General features: G+C 41.2%; 1 long non-coding RNA gene across 1 annotated transcript in view; it reads left to right on the top strand.

Moving 5' to 3' along the window:
* Nucleotides 1-24289, top strand: part of LINC00299 (long intergenic non-protein coding RNA 299) — a 320649-nt gene that overhangs the window by 257550 nt on the left and 38810 nt on the right. The window contains exon 8 of the long non-coding RNA NR_034135.1: nt 10465-10522. This is a non-coding gene — a long non-coding RNA (long intergenic non-protein coding RNA 299). The remainder of the gene's footprint in view (nt 1-10464; nt 10523-24289) is intronic.

Genomic DNA, 24289 nt, shown 5'->3' with positions numbered 1-24289 from the left:
GTTGAGATTCACACATATTTTCCTTTTTGTGTTTTATTTTTAAAATATTTAACTCTCTGATACATATAGAACTTATCTTTGGTGAAGTGTAAGGCAAAGTTCTACCTTTAGTTAACATTAAAATGTTTTTAAGCACTAGTTACACTGAATCATCTTTACCTTTTGGTTTGTGATGTATTCTGTATTGAAAATATCACACACATTTCCATGAGTGGTGTGGAGGGGTATGTGTCTTCCATAACTCTTATCTTCTATAACTATCTTTTCTCTTCTATTTACTTATCTGTTCCTTCTTCTTACACAAATACCACAATGTCTTTTTCCTTAATTTTGTTTTAAAACAAGTTTTATTACTTAGGTAACCTTCCCGGCATTATTCTCTTAAGAAGATTTAAGGTTAGGTCCAGGCACAGTGGCTTACACCCATAATGCCAGTGTTTTGGGAGGCCGAGGGAGGAGAGTCACTTGAGGCAATGCATTTAAGACCACCTTGAGCAACAGAGCAAGACCCAATCTCTTGGAAAATAAAAATAAAAGAAATTAGCCAGGCGGGGTTGTATGCGCCTGTAGTCCTTGCTACTCGGGAGGCTGAGGCAGGAAGATCTCTTGAGCCTGGGAGTTCAAGGCTGCAGTAAGCTATGATTGTGCCACTGAGCTCCAGCCTGGGCAACAGAGTGAGACCCTGTTGCTAAACAACAAGAATATTTAAAAGCTTTTTTCAATATATATTCCTCATTATGAATTTAGAATTGGTTGTAAAGATACAAAAATTGTCAGTTGGAATTTTGATTAGAATTTAGTTAATAATTAATTAGAAAAATAATTTTACTGACATTTTCAGTGAAATCTTGCTGAAGTGAACTAATTTGTAAGAGAGCTGGCAGCAGCTTCGGGAAATTGAATATATTTTGTGTTCATTAATGACAAATGGCTGTGTCTCAGAAGAAAAAGGGTGACTTCACCACCCATCCACTCTCCCCTTCGGCTCGGGGCATGGATTTTCTAAAAGCCGTTTCACCATGCTTAGAGGCTTAAAAAAAAATGCTTCCTAGTTCAGGACTATTGGAGGTGGTGGAGGTAGTTGGGCGTCTGAGTCTTAAATAAGAATGCATGGTCTCCTGCCTTCTTCCTATGCGTCTCTGCTTCCTTCTTCCTAATAATTGGTTTTGCTGTAGCCTGTCAGGGTGTTAGGTCATCACCAATGTGGCTGTTCTGATGTTCTCTAAACCTTCACTCTTTGGGATTGTGAAGTTTGAGTGGGTTCTGTCTAGAGGCAGAGACAAGGGTCCCCTCCCACCTCTGAACACTCCATTTGTCACTTGGGGTCCAGACAGCTCTGCTTTACACGGATCCTCCCAAATCTCCCTAGGGCGGAGAGATTCTCCAACTCTCTGGAAGCAGGAACTTCTCACAGTCTTGAAGATTATTGTGGTCCCCACAGGACTTTTTTTTATTTGGGTTGCATACACTGATACTGATTATGTTAGAAATTGAAAGAGAAATATTTTGCACAAGGATGACATGCAAATTCGTCCTTGTGCAAAGCATTCCATTTTTTTTTCTTTTTCTTTCTTTCTTTTTTTTTTTTGAGAGAGAGTCTCGCTCCTTCTCCCAGGCTGGAGTGCGGTGGCGCAATCTCGGCTCACTGCGAGCTCCACCTCCCAGGTTCACGCCATTCTCCCGCCTCAGCCTTCCAAGTAGCTGGGACTACAGGAGCCCGCCCCCACACCCGGCTAATTTTTTGTATTTTTAGTAGAGACGTGGTTTCACCGTTTTAGCCAGGATGGTCTCGATCTCCTGACATCGTGATCCTCCCGCCTAAATGCTGGGATTACAGGTGTGAGCCACTGCGCCTGGCCTTTCTTTTTTTTTTTTAAAGAGACATTTTTAGAGCTGAAAAATGCACCCCTTTTACATACTGTCAGAACAGTGGTGCCATCAGGTTCCTGTAGGCTCCGGGAAACTCCATTGAGAGAATGAGAATGGAAACAGGGAAAGCGTGTCTTAGTGTCACTATGAAAAAAGCTTTCAATCCTCAGATCCCTTGCAAAGGTCTCTGGGGTCCCAAGGCCTCAGACGTGCCTTTGATAGCTACTGCCTTGGAGAAGCCTGGCCACTTTTGCCTCTGGTTTCTCTCTGTCTGGGTATTTAAAATCAGTCCAAGGGATGAGGGGTGGGGAGGTGCTTTTTCATTTCTTTCTCTAATTTATTTTCTCCCAGTTTTAAAATAAAAGCTCTTGTGTTTGTCAAGCAACACAAAGAGAGGTTTGGTGTGTGCTGGGAGAGGGAGAAGGGCGCTGGGGATGCGGGCACTGCCCTCTCACCCGCAGCAGGCCCCACACAACCCTGGCCTGGAGGAAACTCAGCCTGGCGGAGCTTAAGCCTAATCGGGTGCCAGGAGAGCCACTCAGGTGTCACTGCAGAAGGGAGCCCAGGAAAGGATGGGAGCAGAGAAAAGGAACCCCTGAGCTGGTCTCAGAAAGTGCTCAGGGAAAAGTCTTCTGAAGGCAGCCACACTTCAACCGAGTTCTGGAGATGCCGTGAGCATTTTGTAGGAAACTTATAGGTCTGTTTGCAGAGTTGCGAGAACCATCAGGAGTGCTGGGACACACAAAGTCAGGAACGTTAAGGGAATGAAACATTGTGAGGTCTCAGATGTTCATTTTGGCTCGAAGCTAGAGTGCAGGCAGGGAGTGGGAGAGGAGGGAGGGGCAGGCAGAGAAACCAGACTCAGCCTCTAGGGAGCAGACAGGGCCAGGAGCACGTGCTCCTGCAGAGGGGAGCACGTGCTCCTGCAGAGGGGAGCACGTGCTCCTGCAGAGGGGAGCACGTGCTCCTGCAGAGGGGAGCACGTGCTCCTGCAGAGGGGAGCACGTGCTCCTGCAGAGGGGAGCACAGGCGGCCAGCAACCAGGACAGGTTGGTGCTGTGTGCCAGCCTCTCATTTTTTTAATATTTGGACTCTCCCCGCCCAGATTGATCATAAGCTTTCTTGACGAATAACACTGAGTCTTCGAACCTCTATAAGTGCCTGGGAACAGTGTTGAGTAGGTAACGGGTTGATAGATAGGGCTCCTTCAGGTTCAATGTATTTTGGGTTCCTGGTTCATTTGCTAGGGCTGCAAAGTACCCAGATGGGGTGACTGAAACAACGGAAATGTATTGGCCCAGTTTCAGAGGCCGGGAGTTCGAGATCAAGGTGTGGGCAGGGTGGGGCAGGTGGCAGCTGAGGGTCTGCTCCAGACCTCTCTCTGTGGCTTGTCTTCTCCCAGGGTCTTCATGGTGTTTTCTCTCTGCAGATCCACATTCCTCCTCCTCCTCCTCCTGCTTCTCCCTCCTCCTTTTTTTCCTTCTTTTTTTTTGAGGGAGTCTTGCTCTGTAGCCCAGTCTAGAGTGCAGTGAGGCGATCTTGGCTCACTGCAACCTCTTCCTCTCGGGTCCCGGTTCAAGCAATTCTCCTGCCTCAGCCTCCCAACTAGCTGGGATTACAGGAATGTGCCACCATGCCCAACTAATTTTTATATTTTTAGTAGAGATGGGGTTTCACCATATTGGCCAGTTCAAGACCTCCTGACCTCATGATCCGCCCACCTCGGGCTCCCAAAGTGCCGGGAATACAGGCATGAGCCACTGCACTCAGCCATTTCTTCTCCTTATAGTGACACCAGTTGTATTGGATTAGGGCCCATCATAATGGCCTCATTTTACCTTAATTACCTCTATAAGGACCCTGTCTCTTCATATGATCAGGTTCTAAGGTAAGGGTAGTTAGGTCTTCAACACAGGAATTTTTGCGGGGGTGGGGCAGGTTCTGACAGCTCAGCACAACAGTGCCCTACCAGTTTGCTGTCGTTGATGGAAATTCAATTTAATTTTTATAAGCTTGCTACTCTTGATTTTTAAGTCTTCATTTGGGTGGCTTTTTTCTACTCTCATTCTATATGACTTTTTGACTTGAGTTTGTATTAGTTACTACAACTCTCTTGTTTTCAAGTAACAGGTTCCAGTTGAGCCCTCATTCTGGAGTTGCCTTACATACTCTCCTCATTTGCAAAGAAGAGAGTTGAATGCAATTCACTCTGATTTTTATTTATGGGCAGAATGTGGCCTTATCAGTTTAGCTGTGAGAAAAGCACCAGATCCAATGTGGCATGGTAGATAGAGTGCAGGGTCTGCAGTGAGAGTCGTGGCTTGGCATTGGGCTTGCACTGGTTCCCACTGAGATGTCTCCAGGCCCGTCCCACTTCTATGACTCTCAGGTGTTTTTGTTTTTGTTTTTGTTTTGCAAAATGTGGATAGTATTCATGGAGTACTTGAGAAATTAAAAGAGATTAATATCAGTTACTGTAAGTGAAAACTAAAAAAGCACTACACATTATTTTTTATTTTTTTGAGATGGAGTTTCACTCTGTCATCCAGGCTGGAGTGCAATGGCGCAATCTCAGCTCACTGTAACCTCTGCCTCCTGGGTTCAAGCAATTCTCCTGCCTCAGTCTCCCCAGTAGCTGGGACTACAGGTGTGCACCACCACACCCAGCTAATTTTTTTTTTATATTTTTAGTAGAGATGGGATTTCACCATCTTGGCCAGGATGGTCTGGATCTCTTGACTTTGTGATCTGCCCGCCTTGGCCTCCCAAAGTGCTGGGATTACAGGCGTGAGCCACTGCGCCCAACCCACATTTTTAAGTTGTTACAATTATTACATTATTTTATCTGAATGAAACCTTCCATATATTTGTTTTTGTTTTGTTGTTTTTTCTTTTAGAGACAGGGTCTCACTCTGTTGCCCAGGCTGGAGTGCCATGGTATGACCATAGTTCACTGCAGCCTTGAACTCCTGGACTCCAGCCATCCTCCTGCCCCAGCCTCCCTAGTACCTGGGGCTTAGGTGTGTGCCACCCTGCCTGCCTATTTTTTATTTTTTTGTAGAGATGAGATCTCATTGTATTGGCCAGGCTGGCCTCAAACTCCTGGCCTTAAGCAATACTTTCACCTCCGTCTCCCAAATTGCTGGGATGATAGGTGTGAACTGCTGCACCCAGCCCAAATGTTTAACAGAAGCAGGATTATAGACACCTTCACCTCACTAGAAACTGGCCTGGTCTTATTAGAGTTAAGTACCTAACCAAAGACAAAGGTAGGATGTTATGAAAATATTGATTGCATTTCTAACTTTGCTGTTATTCATTTATATTTTTTTGAGGGGGATGTTGTGGTGGTATCAGGGGAAATGCATCCATGAGGAAATAGAAGTATTTACAAAATAAAGGCAGAAGACGGAAGATTAATTTGGGTCCTTCTGTTTATAGGCAAATTGAACACCTGCATTTGCCTCAGACTCCTCCAAGAATTCCATTAACACATCAGCAACAACAACTTTTAAGACACTAACCCATAAAAATAAAGATAATAGGAGTTCTCTAAGTTCCACAGCAAGCACTTTGGAAGTTAGAAAGCAGAAAAACAGTTAGTTGCTGACTTAGCAGTTAGAAAAGTCATGTCTAAATCACCTGTGAAAAAAAGATTTTACAATTTTACAAAAGTCTCAGGAATTGGCTAATCCAGTGTCTCCAAAAGTTGGAGTATAGAGAGGGCTGGAAGCTGAAGGAGTCTCCGAAAGGCTGTCTGAGAGGTATCAAAGCCCTCATTTCCACTACCCTGAAAGGCAGGGAAACCCCTCGTCAACCTCAAGATGAGACTGGAATTTTATTTTCTGAAGAGATAAAGACAGAGTTTCTGAATTGAAGGACATGAGTCAAAATAGATCACAAGGCTGCCACACAGAAAACAGGAAATAAAGGCAATTTTATGAGCTGCATATTGAGACTGCCCCAGCCCTCTTCACCTGCAGAGGACAGGTAGACAGATCTGTAGCTTTCAGGTACAGATTCAAGGATTCTGCTCTGGGAAATCTGATCAGCCCAAGAGAAGACACCTGATATGGTTTGGCTGTGTCCACCCACAAATCTCATCTTGAATTGTAGCTCCCATAATTCCTGAGTGTTGTGGGAGGGACCCAGTGGGATAGAGTTGAATCATGGGGGCAGTTCCCCTATACTGTTCTCATGGTAGTGACTAAGTCTCATGAGATCTGATGATTTTATAAGGGGAAACCCCTTCCGCTCATCTCTCATTCTCTCTTGTCTGCCGCCATGTAAGACATGCCTTTCACCTTCCGCCATGATCGTGAGGCCTCCCCAGCTACATGGAACTGTGAGTTCATTAAACTTCTTTTCTTTTATAAATTACCCAGTCTCGGGTATGTCTTTATCAGCAGCATGAAAATGGGCTAATACAACACCAAAAGCCACTGATATGAAGATAATTCCTCCAAAATGATCCAGTCATTCACTTTATCAGCAAACCCACAGTTGACAATTCCCATACACAGCAAAACTTCCAAAAATCTTTTAGTGTCCCGCTATTAAATATGAACAGCTACAAAAGTCCACCAGTTAACTTACGAAGGCCTCTGCCATAAGAACAAGAGACAAAACAAAACAAAAAGAAAAAAAAAAAGATAGAGGACACAGAGTCTATGCAGGAAGATGGTAATTGAAAACATACATTATTAACATCATCAAAGAGTTTACCAAACGTTTTTTCTTTGTGTAGGAAGAACAGAATTCTTTAGAAAGAGAAAATAAATGGAGAATAAGAGAGAAATTTGGGGAATTAAGTATATGATAGGAGAAATGGGTAGCCTATTAGCAGGACTGAAAGATAAAGTTGAAGGAATCTCTAAGACAGTGGGGCAAAAAAGATAAAGAACTGAAAATTAAGAGGGGAACATAATAACTATAGACAATCAGTTTAGGAAGTCTAGCATTCAAAGAGAAATCGAGTTCTGTGTGAAACAAGAAAATAGAAGAAAGGAAATAATAAAGAAATAACATGCAAAAATGTCCTAGGATTGAGGATCTCTGGTCTTCATTCAAAGTGAACACACCACTGCACTGCAGCCTGGGAAACAGAGTGAGACCCTGTCTCTGAAAGAAAAAACAGCAAAACAAAAGCAAATATATGGAAAGATTCATTCGGATAAAATAATGGTAGTAATTATAACAACTTAAAAATATGGAGTGCTTTTTCAGTTTTCACTTACAGTCACTGATATTAAAGTTTCAATTTCTCAAGTACTCCATGAATATTATCCACATTTTGCAAACAAGAAAACTGAGAGCCGTAGAAGTAGGGTCATCCTGGAGACATCCAGGTGAGAAACTAGTGGGAGGAAAAGGTTTCATTGAGGATCTTGTGTTTTCAAGAGTAGGAGACAAAAATTATCCTGTACCTGATGGGACCATCATGAAATTTCAGAACTCTGGGGTTAAATGTAAAATCCTGAATGTCTCCAGAGGTTAAAAAATAAAAAAGATGGTGATTAACTAAAGATAAAAAGCAGTATGGCTTCAGATTTCTCTAGAGCACACTGTAAGATAAAAGTCAAGAAGAAATTCCTTCAAATATCTCAGGAGAATTATGTCCAACTTAGAATTCTATATCCAACCCAACTACAATGTCATATCATATTTTATAAATTATATATGAAGCTAGACAAAAGACAGTTTCAGGCATGTAAGGTCTGAAAAACTTCTTTTCTATGACCTCTTTTTCAGGAGGCTACAAAAGAGTTATTTTATCAAAATAAGTGAGAAACATGGAATCCAGGGAACAGAGGATTCAATCATAGAGAGAATCCTCAGTGTGACGCCGCATTGAGATCTCAGGATAACAACACGAGGCCAAAGGGACCTGTTAGAAGGCTATGAAAGAGAGGCCTCTAAGACAATGACAGAAATAGATACCTGGTATGCATCAGTGTATGAAAAGGGTATTTAAACAATTGGGAGACAATTTGGGAGTGAATAAATGAGAATTGCTTTTAAACATAGCAAACAGAAAATACAATTCTTAATTTTAGAGCTTAAAAATTGTTCAAGAATGGAAAAGTAATCATAGTGTATTATATGGCTCAGCTATGAACAGAGTTTACATGGTCATAATTAAGTAAACATTGACTATGATGTAACTATATTGGGAAGATGGGGATACAGGAAGTGATAGTTTAAATCTTCATCTCCTGCTGTAGGACACTAATAGATACAGTCTAAAACAGAAAAGCAAAAGTTGCACTCTAAGCGACTTACAGAGAGAAATGATTGTAAGTACCAATAGAGTCAGCTGACAGGGCTAAAAGTGCTTTTGAACAGTGGAAGAGAGTCGGGGATTATATTCCATAATAAGCATTATGGAATGATCTGCTCTTTTGAAAGGTGTCACGTACATATTTGATAAATACATAAAGACCAAATGAAAAACGAAAGCAAAAAGGGACTCAGGTAGTATAAATAAAAGTCCATCTACCCCAGGGAGAATTGTCTGGGGCCAGGAAAGAGACCTGGGAAGGATCGCCTGTGAGAGAGGGAAGAGCTGGGGGTCTGAGAGCCCAGTGGGAAACAGTGGGAGCCAGGGAGCCTTCTGAAGCCCAGCACGCATGAAATCACCAGCAGAGTGACGCTGCCAGGCCCAGCACGTGGCAGGGTGGCAATTATTCTGAAGGTTTTCACCTTTTCTATGGAAGTTTGGACAACGATGAGAAAGCACTACTGATGATAAAAAGAAAGCCAACAGATTATAGCATTTACTTTGCAAAAGCACAGTTTTGAACATCTTTCCAGAGCTCTACAGTTGGGAAAGTTTAAAAATGAAAGCTTATAGACAAGTGAGTATAAGTGTGTGCATGCCGCCTTCAGCTACGTGGGTGCTTGTCCCCACACCTAGGCTGCTGTAGAAGGGACTAGGAGCAGGATGTCATCCTTCCTGGAGCACAGCAGGCCTGGTCCCAGGATCTCTGCTCCTGCTGTTTCCCTAATAGAAAGTATTTCAGACAGAGGGCCTAACATTACCCTTTATTTTCTAAGGTTAAACTGTCGTATTTGGAATCTTGCTGGAGCAGAGTGTATACCTAATCACACCTAACTCATGCTAGCAAATCCCTAAACATCCACCCAAGTACAAACCTAGAGCAGGAATGAAATAGTCACAGTCGAGGGCTGGGACTGGCTTGCACCAGCTCACAAGAGTGGACTGTTAAGTTTTCAGAAACTTTGTGACCCAGTTGTTATACACAGGCATTGGTAAAATTTAACAAGTTAATATTAACCAACAAGGAAAAGGTTATATAAAAAGATAATATTCAAAATTCATCACTTGCTAATCATTTGACCACATGTTTCCATATCCCACAATCTAGCGGTTACTCCTGTTATTTCTGTACGGTGGAAATACTATACAGCATGGGCTACTGTTCATTTCTTCCCTACTTGCAGTCTGCGATGACATATTTATGGTTTTGAATCCGTCATGGTCGTTGTATTTACACCATGGAAATTGGCAAATACCACAAATCAGGACCTGTTTTTCTCCAAAGACCTGGTTGTTAGACATTAGCGGCATACCACTGTGTATTGGTGACATCTTCTGACAAGTTGCACAAGGCGTGCAGACTTTTTCTCTGGACGTGTCTGTGGTTGGAGTAACCACAAAGAACAGAGAGATGTGTCCAGTCTCTCATGTTCAGAAGGAGTTATGGTAGTCTGAAAATACCCAAGAGAAAACTTCGGATAAATAAAACACTTTACCTAAATCTGTAAACCTTCCCTCTCCTGTCACTTGCCACCAATGGTTAGCTACTCGTGTATTAATATTTTCTTTATCTCTGGTGAATTTATGCACCATGTTTTACACTAGTTGGACCAAAGCCTACTGTGTGTTAGAGACTGGTTAATATCCTAAAAAGCTCTGGGAAGTGAATATACAGAAAAAAAAATGAGTTTCCTTTAGAATTTAACAATGTAGTTACTAAATGTTTTAAACTTACTGAATATCTCTTTGGTAAAAGAGCAAGTCCACAAACTTTGGGATCAGATGTGGATTCAAATCTCAGCACTGACATGGTTCCTCATTTAGCTTATTTGTTGAACTCAGGAAAGTCACATAGCTCTCCTGACCTTCTGTTTCATCTTTAAAATGAAGGTAATAGTGGCCACCTTGCACACCTGTGCTAAAGGGTAAATGAAATAAGCTATGTGAAAGAAATGAGGGCATATATGTCATAGAAATGATTGCAACATATTAGGTATGGGTATGAATAAACATTCCGCCTTCTTTCATTTTGTTTTTATTATCCATGCTTGTCAGAGAATTTTCAGGTAATTCACATCTATTATAAAATATCTTGGTAATCTGGGACAAATAATAAAATAAAAAAGTAACAGAGTTGGATTAAACCAAAGATTTTTCCAGTGCTAAAATTTATATGAATTTAAGTGCATCCTTGCATTTTATTTTCAGTATATTCTACCTTAGAGACAAAGAAGTGGATAGCTTGGGGAAGGAGGAGAAGAGAGTTTCACAAAACATGTAATGCAGTTTAAAATCTCATTGTTTCCTTGGTTTAGATTTTGTGAACAATTTGGCATGAGGAGAGAAAGGAACCTGAAGTTTTTAGCAAGGAAGGTAAGTTTCAGTGAGTTTGATTTTGGTGGGGGGCTTGGTGGGGTGCTTCACTTTCATTTTGACTTTTTCCAGATGAACTCCCAACTTAGAGAACATTTTAGAGGGCATAAATATGTGTGAACTGAAACTAGAAAGCAGTCTCAAGAACACAGTGAAAAATAATATTGAGGGTGTTTAATGAAAAAGCCATCTGGAAAAGAGTGGTGAGGTTTTCCACAGTAAAAAACAACTTATTATTATTGATTCTGAAACTACATATTTCAACCCTCCAAATCTTTACTTTGATTGTAAGGACTCTTTAGAATTCTTTCCAAATGCATCACACCTTTCTAAGAACTTGCGAAATCACCTACTCCAACAGCTTCTTTTTATGGATGAGAAAACTAAGGCTGATAATTGGAAGTGATTTAGGGTCCAGAGTTGAATCAGGATTACGGCCGGGGGCTTCTAGTTCTTAGTCCAGAGCTTTTTCCATTGAACCATACCTCTGTACCTCGGGTAGACCTGTATGCTTTACATTTCTTGGTGTTCACTTGCCTACTTTGTTCTGGATTGAAGGAGGAAGACAAGGAGGAAGAGAAAGAAGAAAAAAAAGGAAAAAAAAAGGCAGACTTCATATGTCCCTCCCAACTCTTTTTTTATCCACCTCTTAAAGGCCAAGGTTATTTACTCATATTTTAGTATTATGTTTAAGCAATAAAAAGGTGTTTTTATTAAAGGGTCAGGTAAATAGAATTTTTAAAATACCTAGGTCAGTAAATGAGATTTCAGTCATTGTACAGGTGTCTTTGACTTCTGCACTTTCTATAGTGATGGCTGCACCAGCACATTCAGAGGTGTTTGGCACATGTTCTAGCCTCTGGACGCTCCGCTTCTTTTGAATTGACTGAGGGATGTGCACGGGTGGGAGGAGTCCCTGATGTTGACACAGGTGTTGTCTTTCTGGATCAGTGTTTTTTTTTTTTTTAATCTAGAGTGTTTCTGAAAAGAAGAGGGATTTCATTCATTGTGTACCTGTAGACTGTGTGTCAATATCTGTTTATTAACTGCTTACTTTGGATTTAGAGTTAATCTTTGTATTTACATACATTAGCTTAGGGACCTGAATAACTAATTGAATATGTGACATCTTTTTCAGTCATTGAGTTGATGTTGATTCTTATTGGTTTCTTTGATCTAAATATGTTAAACATGTGGAACATGTAAAATGATACAAAAATTCAGGCATACCCTCAAGAGAGGTTTTAATTTCCTTAGTAAAATCTAATCATTCATTTATTTATTCATCCAATCAGTGACATTAACTGAGAGTCTACTACATGCCAGGCTCTGTGCTAGCTGTTATAGGATGCTAGAGAGGAATAAAACATTCTTCATTCACTTCCAATAAATCTCAGACCAATAGGAATGACAAGGCAGATGTACAAAGAGCTTTAAAAAAGGCAGGAAATGATAACAGCTCTGAAAGAGGAACCGATTTTGCACAACTGGATCAGAGGAGAGAAAGAGCACTTCCTCTCTGGAGGCAAGACATAAGCACACGACAAAGTTTATGTTGGACACATTGTATTAAGTGCCAAAGGAGTGTAACAAGAATAACAATAACAAAAACAAATGGCTAATTTTAGCACTGTTTCATTGAATTGGCAGTAGGGGAAAAGGCCATTACACTTGGGACTGAAAGAAGAAATACTTGTTGTCTGTATTTAGACTTCTCTATCAGAAAGTCTAGCCCTTTGCTAGGGGAGTTGTTGGTTTTCTATTGCCCAAATCTTCCCCAAAGAAGCACAGGAGGGCCTGCATGACAATACTCCAACAGTGATATTTTTTCTAATTTACATCTTGTGTAAATATTTTCTGATGCTTCTTACCAAAAGAGTTTCAGATAAATGGTTTAAATGTTGTGGCAGACAGATCTTAGTAGGGTGGCCCTATGGTCTTGCCATTTAATCTTTTCCTGTGATCAGGCTATTTTATATGGTAACAGTGATGGGATATTACAACACACAAATACACACACAAACATACACACACACACCCCATCTTTATAGCACACATAAGACTTCTCTCCCTTGGAGGCTTGAGGAAGGAATCTGCCATATTGCAAGAGAGTTTATGGGAGGGCAATGCAACAAGGAACCATAAGACACCTGTAGAGTTGAGAGCTGCCTTAGCCAACAGCCAACAAGAAATTGGGAATGTCAGTTCTGCAAATGCAAAGAGATGAATTCTTTCAACAATCTGAGGGAAATCTGAGGGAAGTTAGAAGCAGTTCTTCCCCCATCCAACCTCTGATGGAAGTGTAGCCCAGACCGCACCTTGATTGCTGCCTTGTGAGATGCTAAGCAGAGGAAATAGCTAAGCTATGCCAAGACTCTTAACCCACAGAAAAAGTAAGATAATAAATGTGCTGTTTTAATCCACCATTTTGTGGCGATTCATTATGTAGCATAGAAAATGAATACAAATGTGAGAGCCAGATACATGAGGAGTATTTCTGTGAAGTTAATAAAAACACTTGATCCCTTCTTACCTGTAAAATAGTATATGGCTATTATACAAATATGACTCATTTGAAAGAACCCCAGTAGAGACAACTGAGAAACCAATTGATCATTCATGATTCATTATAATTCTAAAAAACTGAAGAGAAAGGAATACTTTCAAAATCATTTTAAGAGGTCAACATTAACAATAATAATTAATTAATATTGTTAAAACACCCACACTATCCAAATTATTCTATAGACTCAATGCCATCTCTATCAAATTTCCAAGTTCATTCTTCATAGAAATACAAAAAAAGATCCAAAATTTGTATCAAACCACAAAAGATTCTGAACGGCCAAAATAACCTTGAGAAAGAGCAAAGATGGAGGCATCACACTGCCTGATTTTAAAGTATACTACAAAGCCATACTAATAAAAACAGTATGGCTGGCATAAAAAACAGGCAGACACACCAATAGAACAGAATAGAGAGCCCAGAAATAAACCCACACACATACGATCAATAATTTTTGACAAGGCGCCAAGAATCCACAATGAGGAAATGATAGTCTCTTTAATAAATATGTTGCCAAAACTACCTGAAATTATAAAACTCTTAGACAAAACATTTTGGGAAAAGACTCTTTGACATTGGTTTTGCCAATGACTTTTTGGAAATGATACCAAAAACACAAGCAACAAAAGCAACAATAAACAAATGGGACTAAATAAAACTAAATACTGCTGCATGACAAATGAAACAATCAACAAAATTAAAAGACAACTCTATGGAATGGGAGAAAATATTTGCAAGCTATAGATCCGATATGGGGTTAGTATCCAAAATATACAAGGAACACATACAACTCCATAGCAAAGGCCCAAACAATCCAATGAAAAAGTGGTCAAAAACCTGAATAGATATTTCTCCAAAGAAAATGTACAAGTAGCCAACAGATACATGGAAAGGTGATCAACATCACTAATCGTCAGGCAAATGCATGTCAAAACCATAGCGAGATACCATCTCCTACCTCCTAAGATGCTATTATTGAAAAGACAGAAGATAATAAGCATTGGCAAGGATATGGAGAAAAGGAACTGCTTGTACTCTGTTGATGGGAATGCAAATTGGTACAGATACTAATTAAAACAGTATGAAGACTCCACAAAAATTAAATTTCCATATGACCCATCAATCCCACTTTTGGGTCTATATCCAAAGGAAGCACAAGAATCAGTAGCTAGAAGAGATATCTGTACTTCCATGTTTATTGCAGCGTTATTCAAAATAACCTAGACATGGCAACAACTGACATGTTCATGAATGAATGAATGGATAAAGAAATTGTGGTATACATATACAATAGAATATTATGCAGCCTTATAAAAGGAAGGAAATCCTGCCATCTGCAACAACTTAGATAAACCTTGAGGACTTTATACTAAAGTAACATAAGCCAGTTACAAAAGGACAAATAATGTATGATTATACTTGCATGAGGTATCAAAAATAATCAAACACAGAAGTGAAGAATGCAATCATGGTTTCCAGGGGCTGAGTAGTGGTAGAAATGGAGAGATGTTGATCAAAGGGTACAAACGTTCAGTCACATGATGAACAAGGTCTGGGGATCTAATAGCCAGTATGGATGGTGATGGATGTGTCATTGATTATGGTAATCAATACATTATATATACCTACATCAGATCATCACATTGTATGCCTGTATGTATACCATCTTTATTCTTGGATTAAACATTAAATGAAAAAGAAAGAATTCTGACTCAGTTCTGTCTGACAGAAGCCAGCATGCTTCCCACGGAACCTTGTGCATTGTCTCCCTGAATTGTTATTAGTTGGTTATTTTAGAATAGCAACCTAAAAATAATCTAGTCAAATCTTTTTTTTTTTTTTTTTTTTTTTTTTTTTTTGAGATGGAGTCTCGTTCTGTGGCTCAGGCTGGAGTGCAGTGGCCTGATCTCGGCTCATTGCAACCTCTGCCTCCTGGGTTCAAGTGATTCTCCCAGCTCAGCCTCCTGAGTAGCTGGGATTACAGGTGTGCACCACCATGCCTGGCTAAATTTTCTTGTATTTTATTAGAGATGGGGTTTTGCCATGTTGGCCAGGCTGGTCTTGAACTCCAGACCTCAAGTAATCCACCGCCTCAGCCTCCCAAAGTGCTGGGTTTACAGGCGTGAGCCACCGTGCCTGGCCTTAAGTCTTAAAGAGCATATAAAAATGAAATGAAGCCTTGACTTAGTGATGGCAGCTCTTTCTAACTGAGGGGAATACAGACCCGAAATGTGGGAGCCTGAGGGAGAAGATGTTACAATCCTGCAACAGTTATTTTCTTGCAGTGTGAACATTCAAATATACTTAAATAAACTCAAATTATTTTTACAAATAAATATGATACATATTTTTAAAGTAGGAAATCATCTCAGAGAGATTATCTCTTGCATTAAAATATCTTGATAAGGAAGGAGGACAAGGCTTATTTTCTTTTTAAAAACACAACAAATGGTGTTGCTCAGAAGAAACTTTAAGAATTTTTTAGTTTGCTTTAAATGCCAACTGTGCATATGTCTAACAATAACACATCGAAACACCTGCACAGGTGCCATGTCCTGCCTGGAGACCTCCCTCTCCTTGAGTGCCCACAGATAACAGCCTGAAGCCGCCAGAGAGACTCAGGAGCCTTGACTTCCTCATTTGATTAAGGAAAGGCACAACTGTAAAACCAGACTAATCCCACCTGCCAAACAAATTACTTGCCAGCCTTCCTTTTCCTGAAATTGGAAGCAAACACATTGTTAATCCTGTAAACAGGTACCCTGTTGCTGAAAGGTGACCACTGGCTTCTGTCAGCACATGGATTCAGGTCCATTGAACTGGAAAGTGCACTAGCAAACACTCCTGGCAGAGAGTTTTGAAGAGAACAGAGAGGGTGTGATAGTGATATATTAACTGCATGTCTTCATTTAAAATGGTAAATATATTTGTCAAGTTTTGGAAGAACGGTAGGTATATTTTCACTTGCCTGTCCCAAATATGTCATTAGCAGAATCAGTTAATGTGTCCAAATGCCTTAATATATGGAAATGCAGCCTATTCATTTATTATGCACATATCATTATCTCCAAAAATGGTAATCTCACAATTACTTTTAATTTCCATCCTTGTAGCCTCTGGGTTCTTTGGCAAAGGGAAATGATTGCTATTAAATTGCCCTTGCATTTCTCAAAACTTGACTACACTGACAGCTTTTGCAATGTATATAGGTCATAGGTCAAAAGTTGTATATCCTTTTGGATGCTGTAGGAATTTTGACCTTTCTCATACCTCTGTCCGTATCATATCCTTTCTGTCACATACCATTTCTTTGAAGAGGGTTATTAATCTGGTTTTAGAAGTCACGATCTAAAAAACATAAAAGACATACACATAGAAGAGCTGCAGAGTCAATTCTAATGGAATTTGAATGTCCTTGAATGTCTATAAGGTGTCAGGGAGGAATGGGGCAGTAGACAGGTCAGAGGATCTAAAGGGCCGGTGAAAAGAGTGTGGATTCACGCACGTGTGTGTGTGAATGTGTGCATGAACACGTGCAGATTTGTGCAGAATGAGGTCATGTGTGACTTGAATCTAGATAATTTGGGCTTTCTCATTTGTAGGGAGTAGATTTGGGGTCTCTGTTACCATAACGGTGTCAGAAGGGGTCAATGTGTCTTTTGTGAGATATACTATTATAGGTGTGTGCAAATTCAAATCCCACATCCTGGCTAGAATAGGAGCCCCCAAAGAAGGGAACCCCGCTTAGCTTTGGATGGTGGCCTCAGTTTATGTGGCACGGTGTAATTGTTTTCTTAGTGAGTAAACATCTTAATCCAAAAAGATGCAGAACTAAGTCTAGAGATGGTAAAGAAAATTCTAGTAGTATTAATATTATAGTGATAAGTATAGGAATATTCTTTGTGTAGTTGATATTTGAACTTGTAAAAGTTTTGTTAGTTTGTTGAAGTAGATCTGACATATGGAACTGAAAATGTTCAAGTGATGTTAGATTTGTAGCTGTATTTCTTAAAAATAATGTTTCTTGTGAAAGAGTCTCAAACTTACTGAAAACTTGCCAGTACAGTACAATTTCTTTTTCTCCTGAGTCATTTAAGAGTAAGTAGCTAACCTAATGTCCCATCATACCTGGACACTTCAGTGTGAATTTTCTAGAAACAAGAGAATTTTCTCCAAAATCATAATACAGCTATCAAAATGAAGAAGTCAACATTCTCACACAGCTAGTCCTCAGACCCTATTTGCATTTTATTAACCATCTCAACAGTGTCCAAAGGAACTGGTTCAGAATCATGTGCTAAGTTTAGTTGCCATGCATAGCTAGTCTCTTTCTTCCTGAGTCATTTTTTCCAGTTTCTCAGTCTTTCTTTGATTTGTGTTATTAATGCTTGAAGATTACAGGCCACATTGTAGAAACTCACCCAATGTTGGCTAATCTGCCATTTCCTTAAGGTTAGATTCAGGTCACACATTTTTGACAGGCAAACATTTGTCTCATTGCATCCTATAAAGTTTCAAAGTTCCCCTTTACTAATGATGTATGGTTTGATTAATAAATACTTTATAGAGTAATATTTTTAGAATATATTGTATCTCTCATCAAGTTTTCAAACTATTGATTTATTGATGTATATCAGTTTGGAATTATGGTTTCCTGTTTAATTCAGTAGATTATCATCTGTTACGATCTTTATTTTGCTGCTTAAATTATTCCAGATATTGCTAGTGGAAAGCCTTCAAGCTGGCTTCTGGGTCCATTGACAAGTCTTCATCATTCTTGGAGCAGGTCCTTATATTTTGGCATGAGATGGTCCAGACCCATCTTATGCTTTTTTGTACCCAGCGTGGAACTAGCCACTTCCCCCAGTGGAATGTGGTACTTAGAAAACAAGATCTGAATTGCAATTGTGGTGTGCTAATCCCAGAACTTCCCAGACGACAGGGAAAGGAAATCCATTATGTGTATTCATGTATATACAAATATACACAGGCAAACTCAACCACAAACATGCACACCTAGAGTGATTTCTGTATACACACATATCTAACAGGCTGAAAAACACCAGGTCCTTTGATTGATATCTTTGGTTCCAACCCACCACAAAAGGGTTCATTTAGTTTCCTCTCTTTTCTGTGTTTGTAACCCTTATTGTTAAAGTGAGAAACCTGGCGTCCATCATCCTGAGGCTATTTGCTTGTTTCATCGAACACCCTGTAGGAGCCAACCACCCACCATGGCCTCAGCCTCTGTGCACACCCTCCTCAGCCTGCTTGGGCTCTGATACCTGTGAGGTCACTGTCATGGCTAATTTTATGAGTTACCTTGGCTAGGCTAAGGGATATCCAGATAGCTGGTAAAACATTGTTCCTGGGGGTGTCTTGGAGGGAGTTTCTGGAAGAGATCTGCATTCGAATCAGTGGACTGAATAAGGAAGGTCCACCTTCACCAAAGTGGGCAGGTATCATCACATCTCTGGAGGGGCCCCATAGAACAAAAAGGTGGCAGAAGGGTGAGTCCCCCCTCTCTGAGCTGGGACATCTGCCTTCTCTTGCCCTCAGACATTGGAGCTCCTGGTTGCTGGGCCTTTGTACTTAAACCCTGACTCACATCATGGGCTTCCCTGGTTCTCAGGCTTTCGGGATTGGACTGAAACTCCACCAATGGCCTTCCTGAGACTCCAGCTTGTGGGAGGCAGATCTTGGGACTTCTCAGCCTCCGTAATCATGTGGGTCAATTCCTCATGAGAAATCTCTTTCTATTTATCTCTATATATCCTCTATTTCTTTGAAGAAATGTGACTAATACAATTACCTCTCCACAGAGACCCCTCTGCATTCTTTCTGGCTCCAACACTACAGACCACACTGCCTTGCTCCCATGTGGGTGTCCTTCTCACCGCCACCCGCATCCCTGAGCCCCCATGCCAGACCACCTTTGCACAGAGTCACTGTCCTAACCCTCCCACAGGGGTCTCACATCCTGTACTAGGACCCCTCCTGCACCCCCTCACCACACACAGATACCCTCATCACCAGCTTGGCTTCACACGCTGCCCTGAAGCCCCTGTCCCACCTTGTCCCAGGGCAGACCCCTGCCTCATTTGTGCCACCAAATGACTTTAGTACTGAATTGTTTAGGAAGGGAAGGAAAGAGAAGAGGGATTGTGTGATTCTAAAATTGAAAAAGACATGAAAATTTTACCAAGTTTGCATTAAGTGTTAGAATTATTAGTTTTTATCAGAATTATTGAAATAACTAAATTTTCACAATTGAAATCCTATAAAAATAAATGATATTAAAATTATAAATACATTTGAAAATGTTTAAGAAAATATAATTAGAATAGGACTAAACATTAATCAAAGTCTCCCTTGAAAGTGATGTAATATATAGATTTATAAAACTGATAACAAGATGTTCAAGTTGAAATTAATAGCTTTAGAAAGACCAGCTTTTTTTTTTAACTTTATCAATGAACAGACTTACTTATGTAAAATTCTGAAGTGACAATAATACATTCCCGTTGTGAAATCCATCCTCAGGGACATGAAGGAGGGCCAGGGAGAGTGAGGGGTCGTCTTCCTGACCTGCTGTATTTGTTCATTCTCACACTGCTATAAAGAACTACCTGAGACTGGGAAATTTATAAACAAAAGAGGTTTAGTTGACTCACAGTTCCACAGGCTTAACAGGAAGCATGACTGGGAGGCCTCAGGAAACTTATAATCACAGCAGAAGGTGAAGGGCAAGCAAGCATGTCTTACCATGGCAGAGTAGGAGGAAGAGAGCGAAGGAGGAGGTGCTACACACTTTCCAACAAGCAGATCTCATGAGCGCTCTATCAAGAGAACAGCAAGGGAAAAGTCCGCTCCCATGATTCAATCACTTCCCACCAGGACCCTCCTTCAACACATGGGGACTACAATTTGACAGGAGATTTGGGTGGGGACACAGAGCCAAGCCATATTACCTGCCTCTCCCTGTCAGGTGAGCCTTGGGATGCCAGATCCATCTTCACAGTTGGTTAGGGTCTCAGCCTTGGAGCTGCTGAGTATTCATAGGCACTGGGCTCTGGAGGGTGGTCACTAATGTGCCACCTGCCTGCATTTTCTTTTCCCTCCCACATTGGTGACGACGGATCTTCTTTACTCAGTCCACTGATTCAAATGCTGATCTCTTTCAGAAACTCCCTCCCAGACACACCCAGGAACAATGTTTTACCAGCTACCTGGGTATCCCTTAGCCTAGTCAAGGTGACTCATAAAACTAGCTATCACTGTGACCTCACAGGTATCAAAGCCCAAGCAGGCTGAGGAGGGCGTGCACAGAGGATGAGGCCATAGTGGGTGGCTGGCTACTACAGGGAGGTTGATGAAACAAGCAAACAGCCTCAGGATGATAGACGCCAGGTTTCTCATGTAACAGTAAGGGTTACTAATACAGAAAGGGAGGAAACGAAAATGAACCTTTTTGTGTTGGGTTGAAACCAGAGATATATGTGTGAACTGATGTTTTCCAACCTCTTAGATAAGCATGTACCTAGAAATAACTCTAGGTGTGCATGCTTGTGGTTGAGTTTGTGTGTTCTTTTGTGTGTGTGTGTGTGTCTTTACATGTGTGTGTGTGTATATATATATACACACACACATATATATATACACATATATATACACAAGTTTTTTGGACACTGTTGTGTGGAGGTTGGTCAAGACCACAGTGGTTAAGAACCAACATTTCACCATGGCTGGGAGGTCCTGCCACCTCTTGTTCTGTGGCACTTTCTTTAGCTCAAAATCTAGGTTAAAAATCATTATCTTTTTGACATCTTCTCTAACAATCATGAGCAGAATGCTTTTTCTCAGCTTTAACTCCTCTTGGGCTGGGCTTGATTTTATTATAAAGTTTAACATACTTTATTACCAATTTACTGATTATGTCATTGCCTTTGGATGAATGGTTCCCAAGGGAAGACTCTGAGCCTCACTTATTCGTATATTTTCTCAGTGCCTAGAATAGGGTAGGATGTGCAGAAGTAGTTTACTGAAAGAAGAGATGGATGAAGGAAGAAAGGAAAGTTTTAATGCATTGAGAGAAGAGTATAGCTTAATGTCTTTGACCCAGAGTCAGTTTTGAAATTACTCTGCACTTTACAAAAAGGAATTCTCTACTTTCAGAAGTTACAGGAATAGAGGTTCAAGGCTGTGTGTTCATGGATTTATGCACTGGAGGGATGTCCTCACAGGCCCTGGGCTTCAGCCAGAGCATTGCAATGAGACTCCAGAGGCAACATTTGGCTGACCACTTTGAGCACCAAAACGCTAGAAAATAGATGTATTTGTATGTGTGTAAATCAGGCTGCAGCTGTGTGCATATGTGTGTGTGTGTTGTGCACATGCCTCTTTAAGTGAGGCCATGTGGGAGTCCAGGGGCTGCTGTTAGCGTCCAGCTTGACAGGCTCCAGAGGAAGCTCTGGAATGCGTGGTTCTGGGGCTCCGTTTTTCTATTGTGTGGGATTCTTGTGGGGACTCTGGTGCTCCAGCTGCATATGGGAATTTGTTGTCCAGGTGCCCCATCCAGGTTTGCAGCATAGCACAGCCTCAGTCTGGAAATTTCACACACAAAGGTGACTCAGCAGCCACTCCTTCCTATTGTGCTTATGGCGTGGGGCCTTGAGCAGGGACCCTGTCCCTGTGGCTCTACAACACCAAACGAGTGAGCAGAGGCACTGCTCTCCTTCCATGCAGCTCAACACGTCTTTGTGTTGGAATCTATCTTCCAAGTGGAGAGGCAGGTTCTGGCTGAGGGGACATGGAGGTGCTCTTGGCATTCGGCCCTCCCCAGCCTGGGGTTCCTCCATCTTCCTCTGCCTCAGGGGTGTCCAGGGTGTCAGTGGCATCTGCTTGGACCTCACAGCTCTCCTGGGCCTTAGATGCTCCCACTCAGAGTGGACTCCAGCAGGGTAGGTTTGCACTCAGAGCATACGTGCAGTCCACCGCTGGTTCCACCTGCACTGTGACGGGAAGTAGGGGATGGAGAACAGGAAGTAGATCTGATCAACTGGTGTCCAATCAAACCGAGCTTCTTGTCCTCACCAACCATCCCCAGGTAACGGTTTCTCTCCCACTCCAACTAGATTAAAGTCCTCAGCCATCTGCAGACCTGCCCTGAAAGTTGTGAAGTTATACTGTTCTTCTCCCTTCAAACATCCTCAAAATAATCATTTGAGCTTAAAATCACCTAAACAAATTACTGTACAACTATAAATATATATTTTGGGGGGGAGGGGGAGGTAGAGATAAAAGTAAAAAAGGCTTATAGTGTGAGATTGAGCTTGTCTATACTTTAATGACTAATGACATTGGGTGGGGTGTGTTTTCAGAGGCCAAAATTAGACTTTTTTGTTTATGTTGCAAAGCACGATTACTGTTATTGGCTTTAGTTTTCTGCAAGTTTTTAAATTCTCATTTCTCTAATCTTTGAAATTCTAGGTTATCTAGGTTAGTTGGAAATTCATATTGAGGCAGTCAAAAAAATGAACTCTGCCATTTGACAAATGCCAGACAAACATTCCACATGCTGTAGCTGAAATAAATGTGAGCCACAGATAGTTATATTCCCTTACAAATTAATTTTATTCTTTGGAATCTCCTTCCTGTCTGGTCATGGCCTGATCTTGATTATTTATGCTTCATCAAGGCTTAATTTACCCCATCTTTTCATATGATCCAGAGATTCCATTGGATCAAGGAGTTTTGGGCAGGGTAAATATCACCCCTAACTTGGGTTTTCATTTTCAGTTGGTGATCATTTAGAGTGTTGAATTGCAGGGGTCTGCTGGTGAGGTGTGTGTGTGTGTGTGTGTGTGTGTGTGTGTGTGTGTGTGTGTGTATTAGTCAGGGTTCTCTAGGGGGTCAGGACTAATCAAATGGATCTATATATGAAAGGGAGTTTATTAAGGAGAATTGACTCACGATCACAAGGTGAAGTCCCACAAGAGGCTGTCTACAAGCTGAGGAGCAAGGAAGCCAGTTCAAGTTCCAAAACCTCAAAAGTAGGGAAGCCAACAGTGTAGCCTTCAGTCTGGCTGAAGGCCCAAGAGCCCCTGGCAAATCACTGTTTTAGGTCCAAGAGTCCAAAAGCTGAAGAAGTTGGAGTCTGATGTTCAAGGGCAGGAAGCATCCAGCACAGGAGAAAGATGGAGGCCAGAAGACTCAGCCAGTCTAGTCCTTCCATGTCCCTCTGCCTGCTTTATTCTAGCCACACTGGCAGCTGATTAGCTGGTGCCCACCCAGACTGAGGGGTGGGTGGTCTGCCTCTCCCAGTCCACTGACTCAAATGTTAATCTCCTTTGGCAGCACCCTCACAGACACACTTAGGAACAGTACTTTGCATTCTTCAATTCAATCAAGTTGACACTCCATATTAACCATCACAATATATATGTGTGTGTGTTGCTTGTGTGAAACATTACATATAAAAAACTGGCCTCATACATTTTACTTATGACCTATAAATGGGGTCTATCACTATTACCTCATTTTTTGCTGCTAACTTGCATCAACATAGAAAGAGACTTGGTACTCGGTAGTGGCCTAATCTTGGGGAGATGGGGAGAAACTCTTTAAGGAAATATATATGACTAAGAAGCAGGAACTTACAGCTCAGGACTCACCCTCGCCTCCTTCGGAAGTGCAGGAGCCTCCTCACCATCTCCTGGTTCCCCACAGAGAACACACTTGGCGGGAGTTTGTTGAGTGGACACATGCATGGAGAGTGAATGAATGTGTGCTGTGCCTGGGGCTCACAGAAGTCAGGACTTAACGATTCTCTTCTATAACATCATTGGGACTTACTTTTTACAAGTTGGATTTCTTGAATGCAGTAACTTAAACAGGGTTCAGGGGATTGGCAGATTTAGGAAGATTATCTAGTCACTTTCATGAAGGTGGAGCTGGGTGTAGGAGATAGCTACAATTCCCTTGGATCTGTTATGTGCCAGCCACTTCATATGTATCCTTCACATCATTTAGATTCTGCACTGTCCAATAGCATAGCTACTAGCCACATTTGGCTATTTAAGTTTAATTCAAATTAAATGCAATTAGAATTCAGTTCCTCAGTCCCAGTCGCCACATTTTCAGTGCTAATAGCCACATGTGGCCAGGGGCTCCTATTTTGGACAGCACAGATATGCCCATTT

The sequence above is a fragment of the Homo sapiens genome, chromosome 2, assembly GCF_000001405.40.
Source record: "Homo sapiens chromosome 2, GRCh38.p14 Primary Assembly".
Lineage (NCBI taxonomy): Eukaryota > Metazoa > Chordata > Mammalia > Primates > Hominidae > Homo > Homo sapiens.
The sequence above is the reverse complement of the archived record's forward strand: the minus strand, read 5'-3'. Positions and strand labels throughout refer to the sequence as shown.